This window comes from Homo sapiens, chromosome 5 (assembly GCF_000001405.40).
Source record: "Homo sapiens chromosome 5, GRCh38.p14 Primary Assembly".
NCBI lineage: Eukaryota > Metazoa > Chordata > Mammalia > Primates > Hominidae > Homo > Homo sapiens.
The window spans coordinates 113,511,786-113,532,859 of record NC_000005.10 but is presented as its reverse complement, the minus strand read 5'-3'; the positions used below and the strand labels follow the sequence as shown (position 1 = coordinate 113,532,859).

Here is a 21,074-nt window from a genome sequence, read left to right as displayed (position 1 = left end):
AACTGTAAGATGACATGATCACATAATACAAAAAATCTAAGTGAATCAACTGAAAAACCACTAGAATTGAAGTTCTATAACAAGTCCAAATATAATCATAAAATCAACAACATTCATGTAACTAGTAATCAGCTAAAAAATGTAATTTGAAAAGATCTTGCTCACAATAGAAACTAAAGCTAAAATATCTAAAATCAAATATATCCAGGAATATTTAAGGTTTACATGAAGATTATAAAATGCTACTGGAAAAACATAAAAGAAGACCTGAATATATAAAGAAAATATGCCATATTCATGGATGGGGATAATCAATGCTGTAAAAATGTTAACTTCTCCCCAAATTATTCCATAAAGTCAATAAAATAAAAATTAAAATTCCACTGGGATTTTTTAAATAATGAAAAGCGTTAAAAAACAAAAATAGTCTATAATCCAGGATTGTAGATACCTTTTTATAAATAAAATTCAAACAGGTTGGAACGATTTAAAATCAAAATCTTACCTACTCCCTGCCACCAATGCCCTTATATCTTCTCCAAAAAAGTAACTACTGTTACTTATGAAATCTTTCAAGAAAAAAAAAGTTTTACACAACCCAGAATATTTGTGTATATAAGCATGATTTTTATCCATGCAAAGTGATGACTGTACTTAATGTCCGTAATTTGCAGTTTTCACATAACATACCAGATCTACCTAGCCCATTTTAACAGCTGCATATTCCATCTCATGGATATGCTATAATTTAACAAATGATTAAACATTTAAGTAATTTCCAGTTTTCTAGGTTTGTTATTGATGTTGTTGCTTGATATTATAAACAACACTGCAGTAAACACCTATCTCCAGAGTTTTAGAAAGATATATGTAGTAGCAGTGAAATCACTAGTAGTGAAAATGCTGAGTCATGGAGTAAATAAATTTTTAATTTAGAGTAAAAAAATTATCAAATTGCTCCCCAAAACAATTTATACTCCTACCAACAAAGCAGAAGAGCTGCCTTCCAACACCCATACAAATACTTGGTACCATCAATTTTTTAATTTCTGCCAATCTTATAGTTAAAAAATATAACTGTTTTTATTTTCATTTTTTAAACTGTGAGTAAAAGAAAACATCTTTTCATACATGTGCTGGCCCCTAGGATTTTTTTTTTTAAACTTGACTAGTTCATCCAGATGTGGGGGCTCGGTCAGGATGATGAGAGAAATTGTAAAATTATAGGAAATAAACAAAAACCCTCTTGGAATGCCTGGGGGTTGCATAAAGTGTTTGGCTGAAGGCAGCTGAATTCTCTTAAAAGCTGAGCTCGTAGACACAGAGGAGTTTATCTAAACAGCTTGTTTACTCATGTGGTCCTAAGACCAACCTTTAATTGGTCTTAGGACCACATAATTGCTCTCTACTCAGGAGGTAGGCAATGTCAATTACCCTCTAGTGGTGTCTACTCAAGACCTTTGTCATTTAATCTATACTGAATAAATGTGAGCTTCGCTGGCTGATGGGACCGCAGCTACAACTCTTTACAGCACCTTCCTCAGTGTCTGTGAGTGGCCCAGCCCCTCAGCCTAACTGACAGGCAAAATATCTGTGTCAGTGTATGTCTCTCATCCATCACTGGGTCAGGATCTGCGGGTCAGAACCCAGCATACAGAAGCATAAATGCGTAAGTACCACCAACAAATATTTTAAAAGAGAAGATAAGTGTATCATTTTCAAACTACAGAAAATCAAAGAGATCTTCTGAAAAATCCTAAAAGAAGCCAGAGTGGGGGGAAAACCCTTACCTACAAAGGAGCCAAGGTAAGAATTACATCCAAGTTTTCCTCAGACACTATGCAAGAAAAGAGCGGAGAGAAGGAGTTGGGGGGCGGGAAGAAAAACACCATCCTAGAATTCTGTACCTTGCAAAACTATCCTTCAAAAATGAAGAAGAAATGAAGACTTTCTCAGATGAATACAAATTGAGGGAATTTGTTGTCAGTAGACTACAGCCTTGCAAGAAATGTTTTTTTTAAGTTCTTTACAGAGAAAGAAAAATAACATAGGCCAGAAACTTGAATCTTCATAATGAAAGAAAGAACACTAAAGAAGGAATAAATGGAGGTAAAAAAAAAAAATTTTTTTAACTTTTATTTTTTGTAGTCTTAATTGATCTAACACATAACAATTGGTTCAAAATAGTAATAGCAACAATGTAGCTGATTATGTATATATCTTATGTGTGTGTACATGTATGTTTATGTATGGTTACATATAAGTGAAATGAATGACAGCAATGATACAAGGGACAGGAGGGAGGAATTAGGGTTATTTTGTTATTTAAGGTACTCGCACTACCTGTAAGGTGGTATAGTGTTATTTGAAAGTGGACTTGGTTTAGTTGTGAATGTATACTGCAAACTCTAGGGCAACCACTAAAAAAGGTAAAATATAATGAAGAAGAATATTATGCTCACACTGTAAACAACAAAAAGCAGAATCCTAGTGCAGGAAGAGATAATGAGATTAAAGATACATAAGAAAAATTTTAGAAATAGACACTGGTACTATAGACAGTATTTGGTCAAAAATAGCCTCTTAAATTGGGTAGGGGAGGTCGGGGGAAGGACAGATTTTTAAATAAAAGTTATATTTGAGCTGGAAATAACATGAAGAAAAAGTAAAATTCCTACCTGATATAATACAATAAAATAAATTTCAGATGAATTTTTTAAACAATATAAAACTATTAGAATAAAATATTTATAGGAAGAGCCAGGTGTGGTGGTATGCACCTATAGTTCCAGCTACTTAGGAGGCAGAAGCAGGAGGATCCCTTGAGGCCAAGAGTTCAAGGCTACAGTGAGCTATAATCAACTCTGTGAATAGCCACTGCACTCCAGCCTGGGAAACATAGTGATACCCCACCTCTACATAAATAAATACAGAAAATGTCCATTAATCTTAGGGTAGGAAATGCCTCTCTTAACATGCCCCAAAGCCCTAGAAAAATATTGACAGATCTGACTAAATAAAAATGTAAAACTACTGAACAAGATACCATAAACAAAGGTAAAAAGTAAACAAAAAATTGGGAGAAATTATTTTTAAGATGTTTAACAGTCAACAGACATGCATCTATAATATATAATAAAGCACTCTAAAAAATAAATCAAAAATTAATAAGCCAAAAAGAATAAAAATAAGGAACTCATAGAAGATAAACAGATAAGAGGCAAATAAAAGATAACTAAGAATCAACAAAATGCAAGTTAAAATATGATTTATCAAGCTTATCAGCTTGATAAATGTTTAAATAATTATATCCATTCTTGCCCAAGCTTTAGAGAAACAAGAACTTTCAATACTTTCAGTACAGAAAGATGTTAACTCTTTTTTAGAGTGATGGAACAATAACCAGTGAATCTAGCTATCAAAATTTTTAACTGCCATATCCTTGATCTGGCATTTCCACTTCTAGGAAATTTATCCTATTGAAACATTCCTACAAATAAGCAAAGAAATATTAGGATACAAGTAAGTACAATATAAGAGAAAGATTCCTACTCTATCACTTCTTAGCCATGTTAACTAGAGTAGATTAACATCCGTAAATTTTAATTTGTATTCCTCATCTGTAAAAAGATAAAACCTCCATGTCTTGAAATTATTGAGAAGCTGAAATGAGACAACTCTTACATAACTCAGCAAACAGTAAAGTGTCATTTTTCACCAATGTTTATTATCATAACAAAAATGTTCACGAATACTATGCAGTTGTTTAGACAATGAGGCATATCTATAGGCACTGACTTGGAAAAATATCCAAATCTGTTAAGTGAAAAAAAAATCAAGATGCAAAATTATGTGTTCTTAGCCTATGTTAAAAAACCAATATATAACAATGCTGTAAAGAGAACAAAAACAAAACATACAAACCCCCCACCACCACTACCACCAAAAACAAACAAACAAACAAACAAAAACCCACGAGCATATATTTGGAGATTCTGACAGTAATGCAGTGACACAGGGTGGCAGGAGAATTTAAAATCTTTCATTTTCTGGCCAGGCATGGTGGCTTATGCCTGTAATCCCAGTACTTTGGGAGGCCAAGGCAGGTGGATCGCTTGAGCCCAGGAGTCAAAGACCAGCCTCGGCAACATGTTGAAACCTCGTCTCTACAAAAAATTTAAAAATTTGCTGGGCATAGTGGCATGCACCTATAGTCCTAGCTACTTGGGAGGCAGAGGGAGGAGAATTGCTGGAGCTCAGGAGGTGGAGGCTGCACGCCATTGCACTCCAGCCTGGGCGACAGAGTGAAGCGCTGTCGCAAAAGAAAAAAAAAAAATCTTCCACCTTCTATAAAATATTTTCCACAATGTTCAAGTTTCACACAACGAACACAAATAAGAAAAAATATTCAAAAAGCACTTAACTTCCTAATACCATTAAAGGCAAGATAAAATACTACTTACATTCTGTTTTATATTTCAAAGAATAAAAACATTAGTATTTTAATTAACTCTTTAAATAGGACAAAATTATTTCTCAGGTTTGAACTCATTAAATTAACAGTTTCTTCTTAAAAAGCAAAGAGTATAATATTTACGAATTAAATTCACAAGTATCCTTTCATATCTAGTAAAATGATACACATAACTGTTGAAAACAGGCATCCATAATTCTCATATATAGATATCATTAGCAAGGACATTCAAATAATTTAAACAAAGACCTATTTATTACATTTTATCGAAACTTCCATAATCTCTATTCTATATAATTAGAACTGCTACAATTAATACTTAATGGCAAAATTACTCACCCTAAAAAAATTATAACAATCTAAGACAGCTAAACAAATTCTCTGGAGTAACTCCATGGAATTTCACTTAATCATAAAAGCACTCATGCTGGGTCAGGCGTGGTGGCGGGTGCCTGTAATCCCAGTTACTCAGGAGGCTGAGCCAGGAGAATCGCTTGAACCTGGGAGGCACTGAGGTTGCAGTAAGCCGAGATAGCACCACTGCACTCCAGCCTGGGTGACAGACAGAGACTTGGTCTCAAAAAAATAAAAAACAAACTCATGCTAAAGAAAGATCTTGTATAGTCTTCAGAAAAAAATTTCATCATGTTTTTAATTATTCAGTTTTACAGGATCAAGTTTTAAGGATAAACAGATATAATTCTGTAAAAATGTTTAAGTCCTTCAAGTAAAAAACTGGTAAAGTTTATACTCAACTTCTCCTCCCACCTTGCCTTATCTACTAAGCCTATTAAACTAACCAATATAATCACAGGAAATTTTAGGCAATTGTCAAAAGCAAAATTATGTCCCTAAAAGAAGAAAACCTACAAATATTCTATTTATTATTTTATCTGAACCTCTATTAAAAGCAAACTAATTTTAGTAATTTTAAGCTGAAATGCCGCAAGAATGTACACAAGAGTCATATGATGTCATACTTACTACTTCCAATCTGTTATCCTATGAGTAAAACTTCATAAGGAGGTACTTTGATTCTAAAAATGCAAGTCAAACCTATCATATTAATTCCATTCTACAGTCAACTTTATATTAATATTTGTTATTACTGCTTTTACTTTGGTTCCTATATGCAAAATGCTATGCTAGGCACTTTACAGAGATAATCTCTACACCTCACTGTGAAAGGTAGCAATGATTAGTCCCATTTTATAAATGAGAACTCTGGCTCACAGAGGTTACAAAAAGAGCCTGGAACTTCAATAACTGAGGGAACTGGAATCTAAATTCAAGGCCAAAGCCCATCTTCTTTCCATGATACCAAATCAGTTTCCCAACTCTGTTTAAATAAAGGCCTAATGCACTAGTTTAAAAATAAGTAAATTATTTAAAACATTTTCTTTCTACAAATTCTCCAAATATATTCCAGTAGTAATTTACTTCTGAAATAACCATTACTATAATAACCACAAGTTTCTTTTTCTGTTTTTTTAAACATATGCAGTGTAAATTTGATATAAAATTATAATATGGGACTATATATATATATATATATATATTTTTTTTTTTTTTTTCTATAAACAACAAAAAAGAAACAAACCTGTGTGGTCTTTCCAGACCCAGTTTCTCCTACAATCAAAACTACTTTATTTTCCTTAATTATTTTAACAATTTCTTCCTGTTTCTCAAACACTGGTAAAGACTGCCTAAAAGAATCAAATTCGGATTCTCCTCTTTTCACTGGAATCTGAGGTATGCCATTGTTGAGTCGCCCACTTGTCTTGCTCATTTCCCGGTTTTCTTTGAAAATGAATAAAAGAACAAAAAATGTATGATCAACACGGAAAAAGAAGTGTTAAAAATAAGTAATTTTTTTTGCCAAACCTAGAAAAACATGCCAAAAGACATAATTTCTAACATAATTCCTTTCAAATGTTTTCTTCTCTACTCAGTCTACATAAAGTTGTCAAGCAATATCTCAATTGTACTCTTACACATAATATTCTCATTGAACATGTTACAAAATTTCAATATCAATTAGAAAGTGAACCTCAGACATATTTCTGGTACATAATGTTTAAAAATTGATAAAAATAAATCATTCAATAACCATTAAAAATAAAACAATCTTGATAATCTAGATGATTTTTAGGCTTGTTATAAATTTCTATCAATAATTTCATGGAAAATTAAATTTTTGTAGTAGGAAATAATGTACATTATACTTATAAGATCTGTCACGTACATTACGAAAACATATTACAAAAAAAAGAAAATATCCCATATATGTTTAATGCTATACATGTAAGATTAAGTGATCAAATAGAATAATTATGTGTTAAATATAAAGGTCCTAATGTTAACAAATTTCCTAATGGCGTATTTTAGCCAACATCCACATTTAACTAAACAGATAGGAATAAAGAAGAGGTATGAAATGTTTTATATTCATGTAGCTCAAAATATGTTTGTGTGCCTATATTTAAAGTGAAAGTTCTTTGATATCTAGGACCACATATTTTCTATATTCTGCTGATCTATTCCAATAGACAATAATAACTATGTAAATTTTATCACTATAGGCAATAAATAGTTTTCTTAATAGGGAAGTGATCTTTCCAAATAGTAAAATTACATCTTTATTTTATAACCCAAATACATTATCTACCTACTTTTGAGCAACTTAATGTACTGAAGACTCTGTCCAATCTCTTACCAGAGCTAAAGCCCCAGTTCAAAATCTCACTTATTAGTGTGTTATGGCAGCATAATATAGGAAAGTCTAGTCCCTGGAGTCAAATACCCGCTCTGCAGTTTATTGGCTGGTTTGGTGTCCTCGAATGAATTATTTAATTCCTCTAAGCCTCAGTTTCTTCACCTGTGAAATAGGGGAAATTCTTACCTTGCAAAGGTTGCTAGGAGGCCCCATATAAAGGGTTTTGTATACTGCCTCATACACAGTTAATGCTCAGTAAATGGTAGCTATTGATATTATTATTAATACTAAAAAAAAAAACTTGGTTCAACTTAATGACATGCTTTAACACTGCACTTTGTTTCAAATTTTTACAACTCTTAATCATTTCTAACAAACTATTCCAATTGAGAAATCTTATTTCATCTTGGTTTTCGAAAATAAATCTAAAATGGAAAAAGAACAGTCATCAAATAATAGGGTAAATGAGGAAGCTCCCCAGAAAATACATACCAGCTTCAACTGCAAACACATTTCCTCTTTCTGTTTTAGGCAGAAGTTCTGTACGCTCTTTATTGGTGACAGGAAATCTTTGAATTAGGCTCCTAACAGCATGTTTTGTATTATGAGTCAAATTACAGGTCATCATTGCATGAGCTGTTTCTGATCCATCTTTCTTCTTCACAGTTAGGTATCTATTTGCTCCCTTTCTGAATATTAATAAAAATCATTTATTTACTATATAAAGTCAACTTGTTCACATATGATGTATGCCCACTTAGAAAATATGTCTCAAGCAAAACACTGAAAAAAATCAAAATGCTTTGGGAGAAGATGCTGAAAGTCCAAAAAAATTCAGTAAAGAAAGATTTGGGCTAAAGTGGCCATAAAACTATTTTCAATTAAAATTTCAAGTGCTGTAAATCCAATTTTAAGTCCACTAAAAAGGCTTACTTACCCTTAAGTGTTAAAGTTTGTCTTTAGCAGACTTCATGGTAGATGAAACATCACCAGTTAATATGATACATGCTGGGAAGCATACAGAGGGGGAAAATCAATCTGAACAATAGAACCTAAAAATGATAATGAAAAAGTTATGGTCTATAGTTCAGACTAATATGTCCCAGTGAATGCTTCCACAGTATGTTGGTAATGAGACACTCCCATGAAAACCTGTTAAGAGAGCCAAGTTTCATGGTTGGACCAAAAAAGCATAAATCAGCATTACTGATAAATAATTTCAGATGCATTTTTAATAAAATATTTTTCAAAGCTTCTGGTTCTACTCTTCAATTATAAGGTAATGATGATTTGTAACTGTTCAAGTTATTTACTGTAGGTATATTGTTTCCTCAACTGGTCCAGGACTGAGCATATCTTTCATGACTTCTGCGGCTCTAAGAGTAGTAGGTATAGTGTTATATACCAGGAATTTCCCAGATGTGTTTTGAATGATTTCATAATACATGCCTATAATGTAGCAGTGTAATACTGATTAAGAGCTCAGGCTCCAAAGGCACACAGACCTCAGCTTGAATCCCACTTCTACCACTTACTAGTTGTGGCACTACAGGTAAACTACTTAATGGCTCTGAGCCCAACACAATAGTAATATATATCTCAAAGGATTATTCATATGATTAAGATAATACATGCAAAGTGCAGTATCTGTTGCAGAGTAGACTCTAAATAAATGAAAACTATTATTATAGTCAGAAACAATACTATTTCTTAAATTTTAAGTTACCCAAAATATTTCATAAAATGTTTTGCCATTTGTTAATGTCACTATTATAGAAATAATCAACAGAGCCATAAATACAATGAAAAATTTATAATTTACAAAGCAAATTTTATAATTTTTCTAATTTTCATTAGATGTAAATTTTATCAACAGTATCTTCACCATAAGAGTGATATCAAACTGGGGATTAACCTATACAGTTTTAGCATATAAGTTTTCTAAGTGAGGCTTCCAATTTATCAAGGTTTTTGATTTCTGGAAACTCCTTATTGAATATTTCAATGAATTTTAAGCTTTCTAGGTTGTTATTTACTCCTTAAAAAGTACTTGGTGGTACTTAAAATGATGCTATAAAGATGAAATAAAATTTAACCTGATCTAGAAGTTTTACTTATTTCCATGATAAATTCAAATTATTGAATTCCATAAATGTTCTCTATAATAGGTTCTTTTCCCACGGACCTTTCTGAAACTAAAGGACAGTCATTATAGACTCAATAATTCATTCCCCTTCTGTGATGTTCATTTCATAAAATTTTAACTACAAAAGGCAGGAAGTGAGCTGAACTGAGCACCAGAGCAAATGGTAGGAGGCTAGTATTCAGCTAGTAATAAACTTTCAAGCAGTTACATGATCAACGGCAAATCATTTTACTTCTCTGACACTGTACAATTGTTAATTTTAAAAACTTCATATTTTTAAGAACTCAAAGATGCTTTAATTTTCTTAAAAATCATCTCAGAAAGGTTTTGCTATATTTCACCTTTAATTGTATTTTATTCATTCACTCAATCATTTATCATCTATTAACTAAACACTGACTTTATGCCAGGCACTGTGGTAGAAGCCAGGAATACAAAATGGAGTAAAATATACCCTTTCTCAACAAGCTCACAACTGAAATAATAAGTTAGATTGAAACCTTCCTAACATAGGTTACCTAATATAGCATTTAGGTATTAAAAAAAACCTCATAATAAGCAGGTGGGACTACTTAGCCATTACCATTTAAAATTTACTGAATTCAGTTTGAGCACATATGGTAGAATGGAAAGATAATATCAACTTGATCATTTTTATGTTTTAGTAAAGGAGTCTACTTGTGCTTTTACTGATTATTCCTACCACAGTCAGCACCACAGTGACACTGATATATCATAAAAGGATTAATGAAATTTTTGGTAAAATATTCACCTCATTGTTGTGAGGATGGAAACATTAAATACAGTAGAAATTTGTCATACTACGTAAACTAACAAATTGAGAACTCCTTATTATGCTTTCATTCCAAGATAACCGAAACTATGGTTTGATGATAAACACAGGAATCTTTTATACAAAGCAAAATTAACTAAAAACTAGCTGCACATGTGGAAAAGATGCTAGCTAAGTGAAATTCACAAGAGTTTTTTAAATAAAAGGTAAACCCCATATGCAATTTTGAAATATAAAAGTAAATGTAATAAAATTACAGTTGAGAGCATCATAACACCTAACTTTCGAAAAATAAAAGTAACCGATGCATTTTGGCATTTCAATGGCTTCTTCCTTTGAAAGAAAAATGATGCTATAAGTAATCAAATTTGACACAATGTTAACATTAATCAATTTACTAATTTAAAAGGATGTTACTAAACATTTAAATCAAATACAAACATATGCTTCAATATTCCCTACTTGTAAATCTAAGAACAGTTTAAAAGATCAGCTGAAGAGCCCAAATCTCAAATGACTGCTTAAAAAGCTCACAGACACCAGGAGTCTCTTAAAAACAAACAACAACCACCACCAAAAAAAAAAAAAACAAAAAACAAAAAAAACAGGCATTCATTTGATGCCTAATAAGTACTTAATTTTATATTCCCTTAATTTATATTTCCATTAGGCAGACAGATGCAAAGATCTAGCTCCAAACCACTTTCTCCCCAATACTGTAATACAGAATTGGAAATGTAGTAAAGTTTGCATCATACTAATTTGTACTTTTTTATGATTACCTAAAAACTAATAAACCAACCAGTTCACTTCATGTTGTCGCCAAACTGAGCACAGCTGCTTTCAAGGTATGGTCACTATGCCTATAGTAAATTTATTTTTCTGGGTTTTTCTTTTTTTTTTTTTTTTTGAGACAGAGTCTTGCTTTTTGCTTTCAAGGCATGGTCACTATGCCTACAGTAAATTTATTTTTCTGGGTTTTTTTTCTTTTTTTTTTTTTGAGACAGAGTCTTGCTTTGCTACCCAGGCTGGAGTGCAGTGGCACGATCTCGGCTCACTGCAACCTCCGCCTCCTGGGTTCAAGCAGTTCTCCTGTCTCAGTCTCCCCAGTAGCTGGGACTACAGCCGCCCGCCACCATGCATGGCTAATTTTTGTATTTTTAGGAGAGATGGGGTTTCACCATATTAGTCAGGCTGGTCTGGAACTCCTGACCTCAGGTGATCCACCCACCTCGGCCTCCCAAAGTGCTGGGATTACCAGCATGAGCCACTGCGCCCAGCCTATTTTTCTGGTCTTAATGAACTATAAGCTAAATTGAAGATGAGATCTATCCAATATTTCTGTTCTAACTCCTCAGAGCACCTACTACACTGCTATGAACTTGATGTGAACATCAAAAAATAATTAGTTAAGTATTAACTGTGTTCAAATCCTGGCTCTGCCACTTGCTAGCTGTGTGATCTCAGGAAAATTACTTAACATCTCTAGGCTTTAATTGCCTCATCTGTTATATAGGTGCCAGGTGTTAAAATAGACTCTGCCTTATAAAACTTGTTATGATCCATGGTAGACTGGATAAATAAAATGTGGTACTACATATACACCATGGAATACTATGCAGCCATACAAAAGAATGAGACCATGTCCTTTGCAGGAACACAGATGGAGCTGAAGGCCATTATCCTTAGCAAACTAACCCAAGAACAGAAATCCAAATACTGCATGCTCACATTTGTAAGTAGGAGCTAAATGATGAAAACACATGGACACATAGAGGTGAACAACAGGCACTGGGGTCTATCAGAGGGTAAAGGATGGGAGGAGGGAGAGGATTAAGAAAAATAATGGGTACTAGGATTAATCCTGGGTGATGAAATAATCTGTACAACAAACCCCCTTGACTCATGCTTACCTATGTAACAAACCTGCACATGTACCTCTGAACTCAAAAGTTGAAAAATAAACTATATCCACACTAGTACACAAATGGAGGCATGCTCTGTCATACATCCTGCTGCATTTAATGTATAAGAAAGAACCATTGGTCCTTGTTGCTCACTTCTGTGAACAAAAAGTGCACTAAGGCCATGGGAGTCATCCACTTTCAGGTCAAGGTCTATCCTTTCCCTTGTGGTAAATACCAGGCCAGAGATGAATCAGCACCAAACCAAAGGCCCTCATCCAAATATGAGAATGCTGACTCCTTCTCATTTAAAGAAAAAAAAAAAAAAGAGATTCTTTTATTTTCAATAATCCTTTATTCTTGGGAAAACCCAGTTTAAATGTGACCTAATTTTTTATTTTATTTAGCATATTACATCTATGATCATAAGTAAGATAAACCCATAATTTTCATTTCTAATATCTTCTTTATCTGAGTTAGGTAGCGAAGTTATACTAGTTTCATAAAAAACAGGAGGTGTCCCTCTCTTTGATTCTCCAGGAAAAACTGAAGTAAAAATAAAATTATGTTTATTGTGCAGCCATAAAAAAAGAGTAAGTTCATGTCCTTTGCGGGGACATCGATGAAGCTGGAAACCATCATCCTCAGCAAACTAACACAGGAACAGAAAACCAAACACTACATGTTCTCACTCATAACTGGCAGTTGAAAAATGAGAACACATGGACATAGCGGGGGAACATCACACACAGGGGCCTGTCAGGGATTAGGGGGAAAGGAAAGGAAGAGCATTAGGACTAATATCTAATGCATGCAGGGCTTAAAACCTAGCTGATGAGTTGATAGGTGCAGCAAACCACCAGGGCACATGTATACCTATGTAACAAACCTGCACATTCAGCACATGTATCCCAGAACTTAAAGTAAAATAAAATTAAAAAGAAAAGAAATTATGTGTATTGACTCTTTGATTTAAATTACCTCTGAATGGCATTTGTGTGAGTAAATTTCTAATCTTGATTAAATTTATATAATGAATTTTTTAAAAAACCATTGTTAGGATTAAATGATAATCCATTTAAAGCACCTAGCACAAGTATACAACAACACTTAGTAAATGTTTGCTCCTGCCTCCTCAAGGAATGCAGCCCTGCCGATATCTTGATTTTAAGTCCATGGGACCTCTGTTGTTGGACTTCTGACCTCCAGAACTGTACTTTGGTACTCTATTTGGTACCTGTTAGGCAGTGACCTTAGCAGTCACAGAAGAAACTTGTACTTGGAAAATCTACTTTCATATACTTCATATTTTCCCATTCTACAGATTTTTAACAAAGTTCATTTTGTAAAATCCATTTTTGTCTAACTTGGACTGAGAAAAATCGAGATGGGATTTTGTTTTCATTATAAACAAGCCAAAGACTTAGAAAAGTGAGCCTTTAGGACTAAAACACACTGACCTCAGCGTGACTTTAAACACAACCTTTAAAGTTGAGGAAAAAAAGTAAATAATGATGTGAAATTTTTGGTATGTGAAACCTGACTAGAATTTCAAAGAAAACTTTAGGATATATTAAAAATCACAAAATGGGGCTTTTACTCCAAGAATGTTTTCACTAAAAGATGAGCAATTACAAAAAATAATCAAAACAGCGCCAAGGCACACTAGTTCAGGCCTATAATCCCAATACTTTGGGCGGCCTAGGCAGGAGGATCACTTGAGCCCAGGAGTTTGAGACCAGGCTGGGCAACATAGCAAGACCCCATCTCTAAAAAAAAAAAAATCTTAAATTAGCCAGGCATGGTGGTGCATGCCTGTGGTCCTATCTACTTGCGAGGAAAGCCTGAGCCTAGGCGTTTGAGGCCATACTGAGCTATGATTGTGCCACTGTACTCCAGCCTGGACAACAGAGGAAGACTCTGTCTCTAAAAAATAAAAATAATCAAAGCAGGTAAAATTCAATTATTTAGAAGATGAAAAACAAAATCCATCACAAATGACATAATTTTGAAAGAAAGAGTATCAAAAAGAAAAAATTGACCAGAAAAAAATTGAAAGCTATCACACAATAAGTCTGGAATCTATTTTTTAAAACTTATATAAAAAGCCCAAATAAGAGAATGAGTCAATGAGAGACTGGAAATAGAATCCAGGCTTTCTGCACTTTACACCAGGTGGCCTCTCAAATAGGTACTAAGAAACTATAATATCAGACACCTACAGATACACACACACACACACACACACACACACACACACACACACACACGAAAACTAACTTACTGAATCAATAAAGTTAACGATAGATTATTTTTTTAAAAATCGGCTGGGCCCAGTGGCTCATGTCTGTAATCTTAGTACTTTGGGAGGCCAATGAGGGAGGATTGCTTGAGCCCAGTAGTTCAAGACCATCCTGAGCAACATAATGAGATGCTGTCCTCTACAAAAAATAGAAAAATTAGTTGGGTGTGGTAGCATATGCCTGTAGTACCAGCTACTCAAGAGGCTGAGGTGAGAGGATTGATTGGGCCTGGGAGATGGAGGCTGCAGTGAGCAGCGAGCCGTCATCATTCCACTGCACTAAAGCCTGGGTGACAGAGCAAGACCTTGTCTCCAAAAAAAAAAAAAAACAAAAAAACGCCAGGTGCAGTGGCTCACGCCTGTAATCCCAGCACTTTGGGAGGCCAAGGCGGGCAGATCACGAGGTCAGGAGATCTAGACAATCCTGGCTAACACAGTGAAACCCCATCTCTACTGAAAATACAAAAAATTAGCCGGGCGTGGTGGTGGGCGCCTGTAGTCCTAGCTACTTGGGAGGCTGAGGCAGGAGAATGGCGTGAACCCGGGAGGTGGAGCTTGCAGTGAGCCGAGATTGTACCACTGCACTCCAGCCTGGGTGACAGAGCAAGACTCCATCTCAAAAAAATAAAATAAAATAAAATAAAGTCAAAGGGTGAACAGAAAATTTCATGGATAAGTCAGGTACAAATTCTCATACAAATGAAAAGAAAGGATTTGAGAAGTAGATTCAAAGTGATTTCTTTCTTTTTGTGAAAAGAAGAAAAGGCATTTGAAAATCACAAGGACCACTAAGAAAATATAGTACAAAGTTTACTCAAAGATGAAAAAAAGAGAGAAGGAGCTAGGGTATTTCGTAAGAAGGTTTGAAAGCATTAAGGTTATAGGTATTAGGGACTGGATAAATAGGCAGGATTGCCTTGCTTCCCTTAGCATCTCTTTCCTTTTTCTTCTTTCTCTGGCTCTTCAATGTTTCCGCATTCCCCATTTTTGTCTCCATAACTTCCTTCTTGAATTCTCCTTCCCAAGATATCTATTCATTCCAGATCAGCTCTTACATGACTATGCTACTGAAGAGAAGGACAGGAAGTCTACTCTAATGGACTGCTTTTCTAAGTTAGCTGTTTAGAATGCAAGACCCATGTAACCATAGAAATGATGTAGCTACAGAACTGTACATTTATAACATGTGTTTCCAAGCACAGGCCCAAAACCTCTTACCTGCAACTAGTAAACCCAAACAGTGCCAAAAACTGGAAACTTTTAAGTTTGCAGTAACCTCATTTGACATCAAATGTGATCACGTGATTAAACTGACATGAGGTTATTAATAGTCTCAGTGTGAATATTCATAGAATTTCCAGCAAAAATATAAATGTGACTAAAGGTGATGGCCATATTTTATTAGGTAGATTATACAACATATTGCAAATATACCCAAATACCTTTCTAAAGTCTAAAAAATCTGAATCTCAAATATATTTAGCCCAAGTGTTTCTGGATAAAGTATTGTGGCACTGAACTATATTTTTATTTTCAGGTGCAGTATTTTTACCTACCTAGTGGACTATAAGATGGGCACATTCAGGAATCTAACCACTGTTCCAGCACTGGCCTTAGTGATGTTCAAAACGCACATTCACCTAAACTAAATCCCGTGTCTCAGTAATTTATCACTGTAGTAGGCAGTCATATGCAAGACATTCCTACATCAGCTGCTTTCACTTTGGGACCATCTGAATATTTATTAATATATTTACTTAATAAAGTTTTGTTTTCCCTCTTCCTAACCTAAAAACATACCGGTAAGCTGAAATTTTATCCTTTTCTTCCCTCTATGTCAGTAGTTCTCAACCTGAGCAATTTTGCTCTCCAGAGGACATTTGGCAACCTCTAGAAGCATCTCTGGTTGTCACAACTGGGGTTAGGAGTGTTAGTGGCATGTAGTAGTAATGGCTATGGATGCTGTTAAACACCCTACAGTACACAAAACAGAATAAAGAATTATCCAGTCCAAAATGTCAATAGCACCAACAGTGAGAAAGCTTCCTTTACATTGATCCCACCATCCTTATTAACAAAATGAAATAGCGCCACAGAATTTTAGAGTTTTTCAATTTGGATGGCTCAAATGACTTTTCCCTCAATGTAACTCTGTGATCCTCCCAACAAAACAAAACAATTTCCTCCTGTACCACTTTTTAAAATCATTTCTAATCATCAGATCCTTGACTTGGTAGGAAAGAAAACAATGAACATATGCTCTAAAGCTTATTATTATATTGCAGTAACAGTAAAAGAAGTAAGTTCCATAAATAATTGCAACTATCTTTTGTACATCCATTTTTCAAATGAGATTTCTATCAAAAAATAAAAATATTTTTCTCAAGCAATCAACTTCAACTTTTAAACTATTTTTTTCTTACATCTTAAAATTTACCTTTGAAAGAGTTCACGGTATGCCACCCAAAAATATGTCACTCTGCCATAAGGATTATTTTGAGCTGAAGGCAATCGAGAAGAAGCAGACATAAGAAAAACTCCGCCTTCCCCTGCTTTACCAGAAAGGGAAGGACTATTCTTAACAAGAGAAACCACTCTAGACTCTTAATAGAGACAGCACCAGGGGAACCTACATAACCAACCTTGCTAAAAGAACACATATCTTCCATTAGTTTCCCCACATATACCTTCCCACAATTTACTGCACCTACAAGTTCAAAGTCCTTTTCCTTTGTCTTGTCATTTTTTAAATAAATTCATTGTTCTTTATTAAGATGCCACATAAGCCCCATGTTTGAGTTACTATCGAGTTCTCCCCTATGTATGCATGATGCATGTCTTAATAAGCTTATGTTTTTCTCTTGTTAATATGTCTTTTATCAGTCTAATTTGCAGGGTCCCAGCCAAGGAACCTAAGCTGGGTAGAAGAAAAAGCATTTTCCTAGGGAAAAACAAAACAAAACAAAAAAGGGGGGAAGAGGTAGACAGAGGGAAGAGGAAAGAGTTGAATTTGGTACAGACCTGAATCTTTTATCTACATATGATACAATTAAGAATGTGAAGTTAAAACAGTAATAAGTACTTAAATGTACTCAGAAACGTTTCTCCCTTTTTTGGGCAAATAATCTTTTTTAAAAAAAATAAGAAAAGCTACCAGCTTACCCTTTACTTTTAGAGACCAAACCAAGAGACTGACTGAGTCGATGAATAAAGGCTCTTTCAGTACTGGTCAAAGAAGAAGGAAATTCCATTTCTACACGGAAAAAAAACAAAGTAGTAAAATTTGTAGATAGGCAATTTTCTCTCAAGTAAAACACACAGATACAAAATATGAAAAACATACATAGACAATCAAATTTATTATACTTTATTTGAGGTTAACTTTATATTTCATATTCTATTTATGTAAATTAATAAAATTAAGATATTTTATTAATTCAATAACTACTGAATGTCTATCAGAATTCTGATATTAATAAAAAGACAGCTATGTATTAAACCTAAATGTGATAAAGGCCTCTGATATTCACCAAAAACGACTCCTCTTACTTGTTCTGGAATTTTGAGTTGGTATAATGACTGAACATATTTAACTTGGTCCCTACTTGTTTAGTTAACAAAATGTTTATTTTCTTCAATGATGAGATATGTTCAAATATTATGAATTCTCAACATGAAACTCCATTGTCTTTGCTTTCAAAACTGTACAGAATTCGTATTTCACTATTTCAGAGGGATTTGTTATATATTGCTGAGGCTTTCTCTTTTTTTAATGTGAATTTAGAATCTCTCTGTCTAGAACATTCCCCGTTTTGGACTATAAGATTCCAGAGTAAGAGGTCCCCTAACTAAGCCAGCAGGTCCGAATGAGCCCTCAACAGACTGCACAGGTCACCGCAGGTCAGTTGCTGGTTCTGCATTATATGACCCAAGACAAGTGGCTATCTAACCTCAAGAGGTGTGGAAGATGCTTCGTGTGCCAAACAAGTTTAATTTAAGTGGGTAGCGTGATGCTTCAGGGTCCAAACGTATTGCTGGTGCATTTATTTATATGTTTGATTTCTTTCTGCTCTTCTACATCTGTAGCTTAAACGTGCCACAATTAGGTGACACCCCCTTAAAAAGGGTTAGGGCTAACCAATATCTGAAACACGGTGGCTTAACCGCCCAAGGCTGCTGAAAGACGCGGGGGAAAAACACTTTCAGCTAGGGAGCAAAGTGCCCATAACCCCATTGATCCGCAGAGCACCTCGCATTCCACCGCAGGGCCAACAGCCGCGTTCCAGACCCGGGTGCCGCCGCTGAGGCCCGCCCCGGACGGTGGCCCGGGTCTTCCCTCCCTCTTCGGAGGCACCCCCATCACTCGGTGGGCCGCCGTTTGGGGGGCGCTGGGGTGAGGGGGGTATCCTGACTGCCAGCATGGTCCCTGTCCGGAACCTCACCTCTCTGGTCCCCGTATCGGAAGCGCTCCAGCGCGATATTGACTGCGATCTTCACCTCCTCATCAATGCGAATGTCCTTCAGCCCCTTGGCCCGGCCGCCGCCCCCAGGGCCACAAGGCGAGGGGCCGCCGCCTCCGCCACCGCCAGGAGCCGGCTGCCGCGGGGAGACGCTGCTCGGCCTGGACATTGCCCTGAAGAGATGGTCTCTCCGCACGGGAGCGGCCAGGCCTGCTAGCTGACAGCCAATGACAAAGACCGTGGGAATCCGGGGCCACTACCGGGAAGCTCCGGAGACGGCCTGTGTTGGGCTGAGGTCACCAGAAAGGCCTCAGTCACCGCCACAGCAGAAGTGAAGCCTGCGCCATTGATATCACGGCCAGGCGAGGAGCGCGGGCGTAATGACGTCACCAGGGCCGGCGCCCGTGACCTCAGCGCGGCCGCCGCTGCGCGCCTAAAGGAGGCTGTCTGCGGAGCTATGGTGCGGTTCTCTTCCCGCGCCGCCCACCAAGGGTCGCTCCTCATCTTCTTATTCACTCACTTGCTACTTCGTTTAGTCCTTCATTAATTCCTGCAGTAAGCATGTATGGGCTTCTACTGTGGACCTGGCATTATGCCACGCCTTCGATGTACATTGGAGAACCAGAGAGCCAAGGTTCCTACCTTCATGGAGTTTATATTTTAGTGGGAGGAGGGTTGCCAGATTTAGCAAATAAAAATACAGAATGCTTAATAATTTGCATTTCAGATAAACGAATAATTTTTAGTGTATATATTTCCCATGCAATATTTGGAAAAATATCATAAAAAATACATATACTAAAGAATGAGCCACTGTTGTGTGTCTTGCATTCTTCCCTTTTCTGAATGGGAGATTTTAATGCAAGTATGCCACCCTTGCTCTATCACGCTACACAGGGTAGCTGAGTGGGGGCAGGTATGTAGTACATATTTACATAGTTCATGAGTTACCTGGCAATGAGGATATACATCTGGATCTAATAAAGAGGACTGTGTATCAACAACAGATCCTGGATGCAGTGACTAGATAGAATTCCAGGTGTCTGGGGAGGGTATATGTGTATTCTGTGTGTGGTAAGAAGGGGGCGGAATATTTGGTGACAAGAAGTATCTTTTCTTCCTAGGCATTATATTTCCCAACTCTCCTGCAGTTAGCTGGGGGCCACATGGCTGAGTTCCGGCCATTGGAATGTTGCTGGAACTGATGTATACCACTTCCAGGATTGGTCTATAACACCTTCCTTGAATCTTCCCTTCTCTGTCTTTCCTGGTCTTCTGGAAGTTCTTAGACAACGGTGGAACCACTAGATAGATAACAGGTTCCCGATTCCCTGAACGAGTGTGATAGAGTGTCCTCACCAACCCACATTGGAATATGACATGGGTAAGAAATAATTCTTAGTTGTGGTAAACTGCTGAGATTTGGGAAGATTTTTTTTTGTAACATTATGGTAAATTGTTGAATTCATCAAAGGTATGGCCTTTGATGAATCACACATTCCTCTGTTCACACCCTTGTATTCTTCCTTCCCACATGGACTCTGTCTTTGGCTATGTAACTTGCTTTGGCCATTGGGACATCAGCAAATACGAGATAAGCAGGGGCTTGAAAGGTGTTTGTGCATTAAGGCTTAGCCTGTTTTGCTGCTGAGAATTCTTCTTCCACAAAGTAAAGAAGCTTAGGCTAGCCCACTGACAACTATGGCCCAATCATCCACCAGCACCAAGGGCAAGACGTGAAAAAGGCCATAATGGAAAGTCTAGTCTTAGAAAAGCTGCTGGATGACCACAACTCTGTAAGCAACCCAAAGCAAGATTAGCAAAACCACCTAGCTAAACATAGTCCAAACTGTTGACCCACAGAACACATAAACAAATAAAATGAATATTGCTGTAAGCCACTAAGTTTTAGGTTGGGTTTCTTACACAGCAGTAGATAACTGATACAAAGAGTTAGCTTATTCTGACTAATATATTTGTACAATGATAAGGCTGATCTTGGGCATAAGTGACTAGGCTGAAAGAACTAGCTTCACCCGTTCCAGTTTGTACCCAGTTGCCTAAGAACTGGGGTCATCAACATCTTGATATGCCTGTAAACAACTTGTGGCATACGAGCATGCCACAGCACAGTGGTCTGGAGACTGCTCTCTTCTCATCTATAAAATTGACCTGGTAGAGTAATAAAGTCTTAAAATATAACCAACATGATTTTATTATTGATGCTAGGGATATTTCCTCCCACCCTTTGCCCCCTCATCACCCCTACTTTGCCAGCC

The 21,074-nt window shown here is 36.0% G+C and overlaps 1 protein-coding gene and 1 long non-coding RNA gene across 13 annotated transcripts in view, besides 4 other annotated features; one reads left to right on the top strand and one right to left on the bottom strand.

Moving 5' to 3' along the window:
* YTHDC2 (YTH N6-methyladenosine RNA binding protein C2) overlaps positions 1-19,166 on the bottom strand; it is an 81,591-nt gene extending 62,425 nt beyond the window's left edge. For 8 of the 12 annotated variants that reach the window (XR_246540.4, XR_948288.3, XR_001742200.3 and 5 more), the window contains exons 1-4: positions 18,778-19,166; positions 17,498-17,588; positions 7,683-7,879; positions 6,075-6,274 (exon numbers count right to left, since the gene is read on the bottom strand). Coding sequence is in view for 7 of the 12 variants with exons in the window: in XM_047417527.1 (XP_047273483.1) it covers positions 6,075-6,274; positions 7,683-7,879; positions 17,498-17,588; positions 18,778-18,964 (675 nt within the window). In the remaining 5 variants the exon portion in view is untranslated. Of the gene's footprint in view, positions 1-6,074; positions 6,275-7,682; positions 7,880-17,497; positions 17,590-18,777 lie in introns of those variants that run through there. The other 4 variants (NM_001345975.2, NM_001345976.2, XM_047417528.1 and 1 more) reach the window with 4 other exon arrangements.
* Positions 12,171-12,371: a silencer, noted in NCBI's record as "peak5423 fragment used in MPRA reporter construct". NCBI's record gives its function as "represses an SCP1 promoter by STARR-seq MPRAs in K562 erythroleukemia cells {active_cell/tissue: K562}" and the evidence as "EXISTENCE:reporter gene assay evidence [ECO:0000049][PMID:32103011]".
* Positions 18,681-18,910: a silencer, noted in NCBI's record as "silent region_16243". NCBI's record gives its function as "represses an Ori minimal core promoter by ATAC-STARR-seq in GM12878 lymphoblastoid cells {active_cell/tissue: GM12878}" and the evidence as "EXISTENCE:reporter gene assay evidence [ECO:0000049][PMID:35858748]".
* Positions 18,863-19,364: an enhancer, noted in NCBI's record as "H3K27ac hESC enhancer chr5:112849193-112849694 (GRCh37/hg19 assembly coordinates)". NCBI's record gives its function as "activates a minimal SCP1, AML or CMV promoter by ChIP-STARR-seq in naive H9 embryonic stem cells {active_cell/tissue: H9 hESC(naive)}" and the evidence as "EXISTENCE:reporter gene assay evidence [ECO:0000049][PMID:30033119]".
* Positions 19,202-21,001, top strand: LOC124901046 (uncharacterized). The gene is made up of 2 exons (XR_007058905.1): positions 19,202-19,429; positions 19,920-21,001. It is a non-coding gene; the product is annotated as an uncharacterized LOC124901046 (long non-coding RNA).
* Positions 19,361-19,410: an enhancer, noted in NCBI's record as "active region_22921". NCBI's record gives its function as "activates an Ori minimal core promoter by ATAC-STARR-seq in GM12878 lymphoblastoid cells {active_cell/tissue: GM12878}" and the evidence as "EXISTENCE:reporter gene assay evidence [ECO:0000049][PMID:35858748]".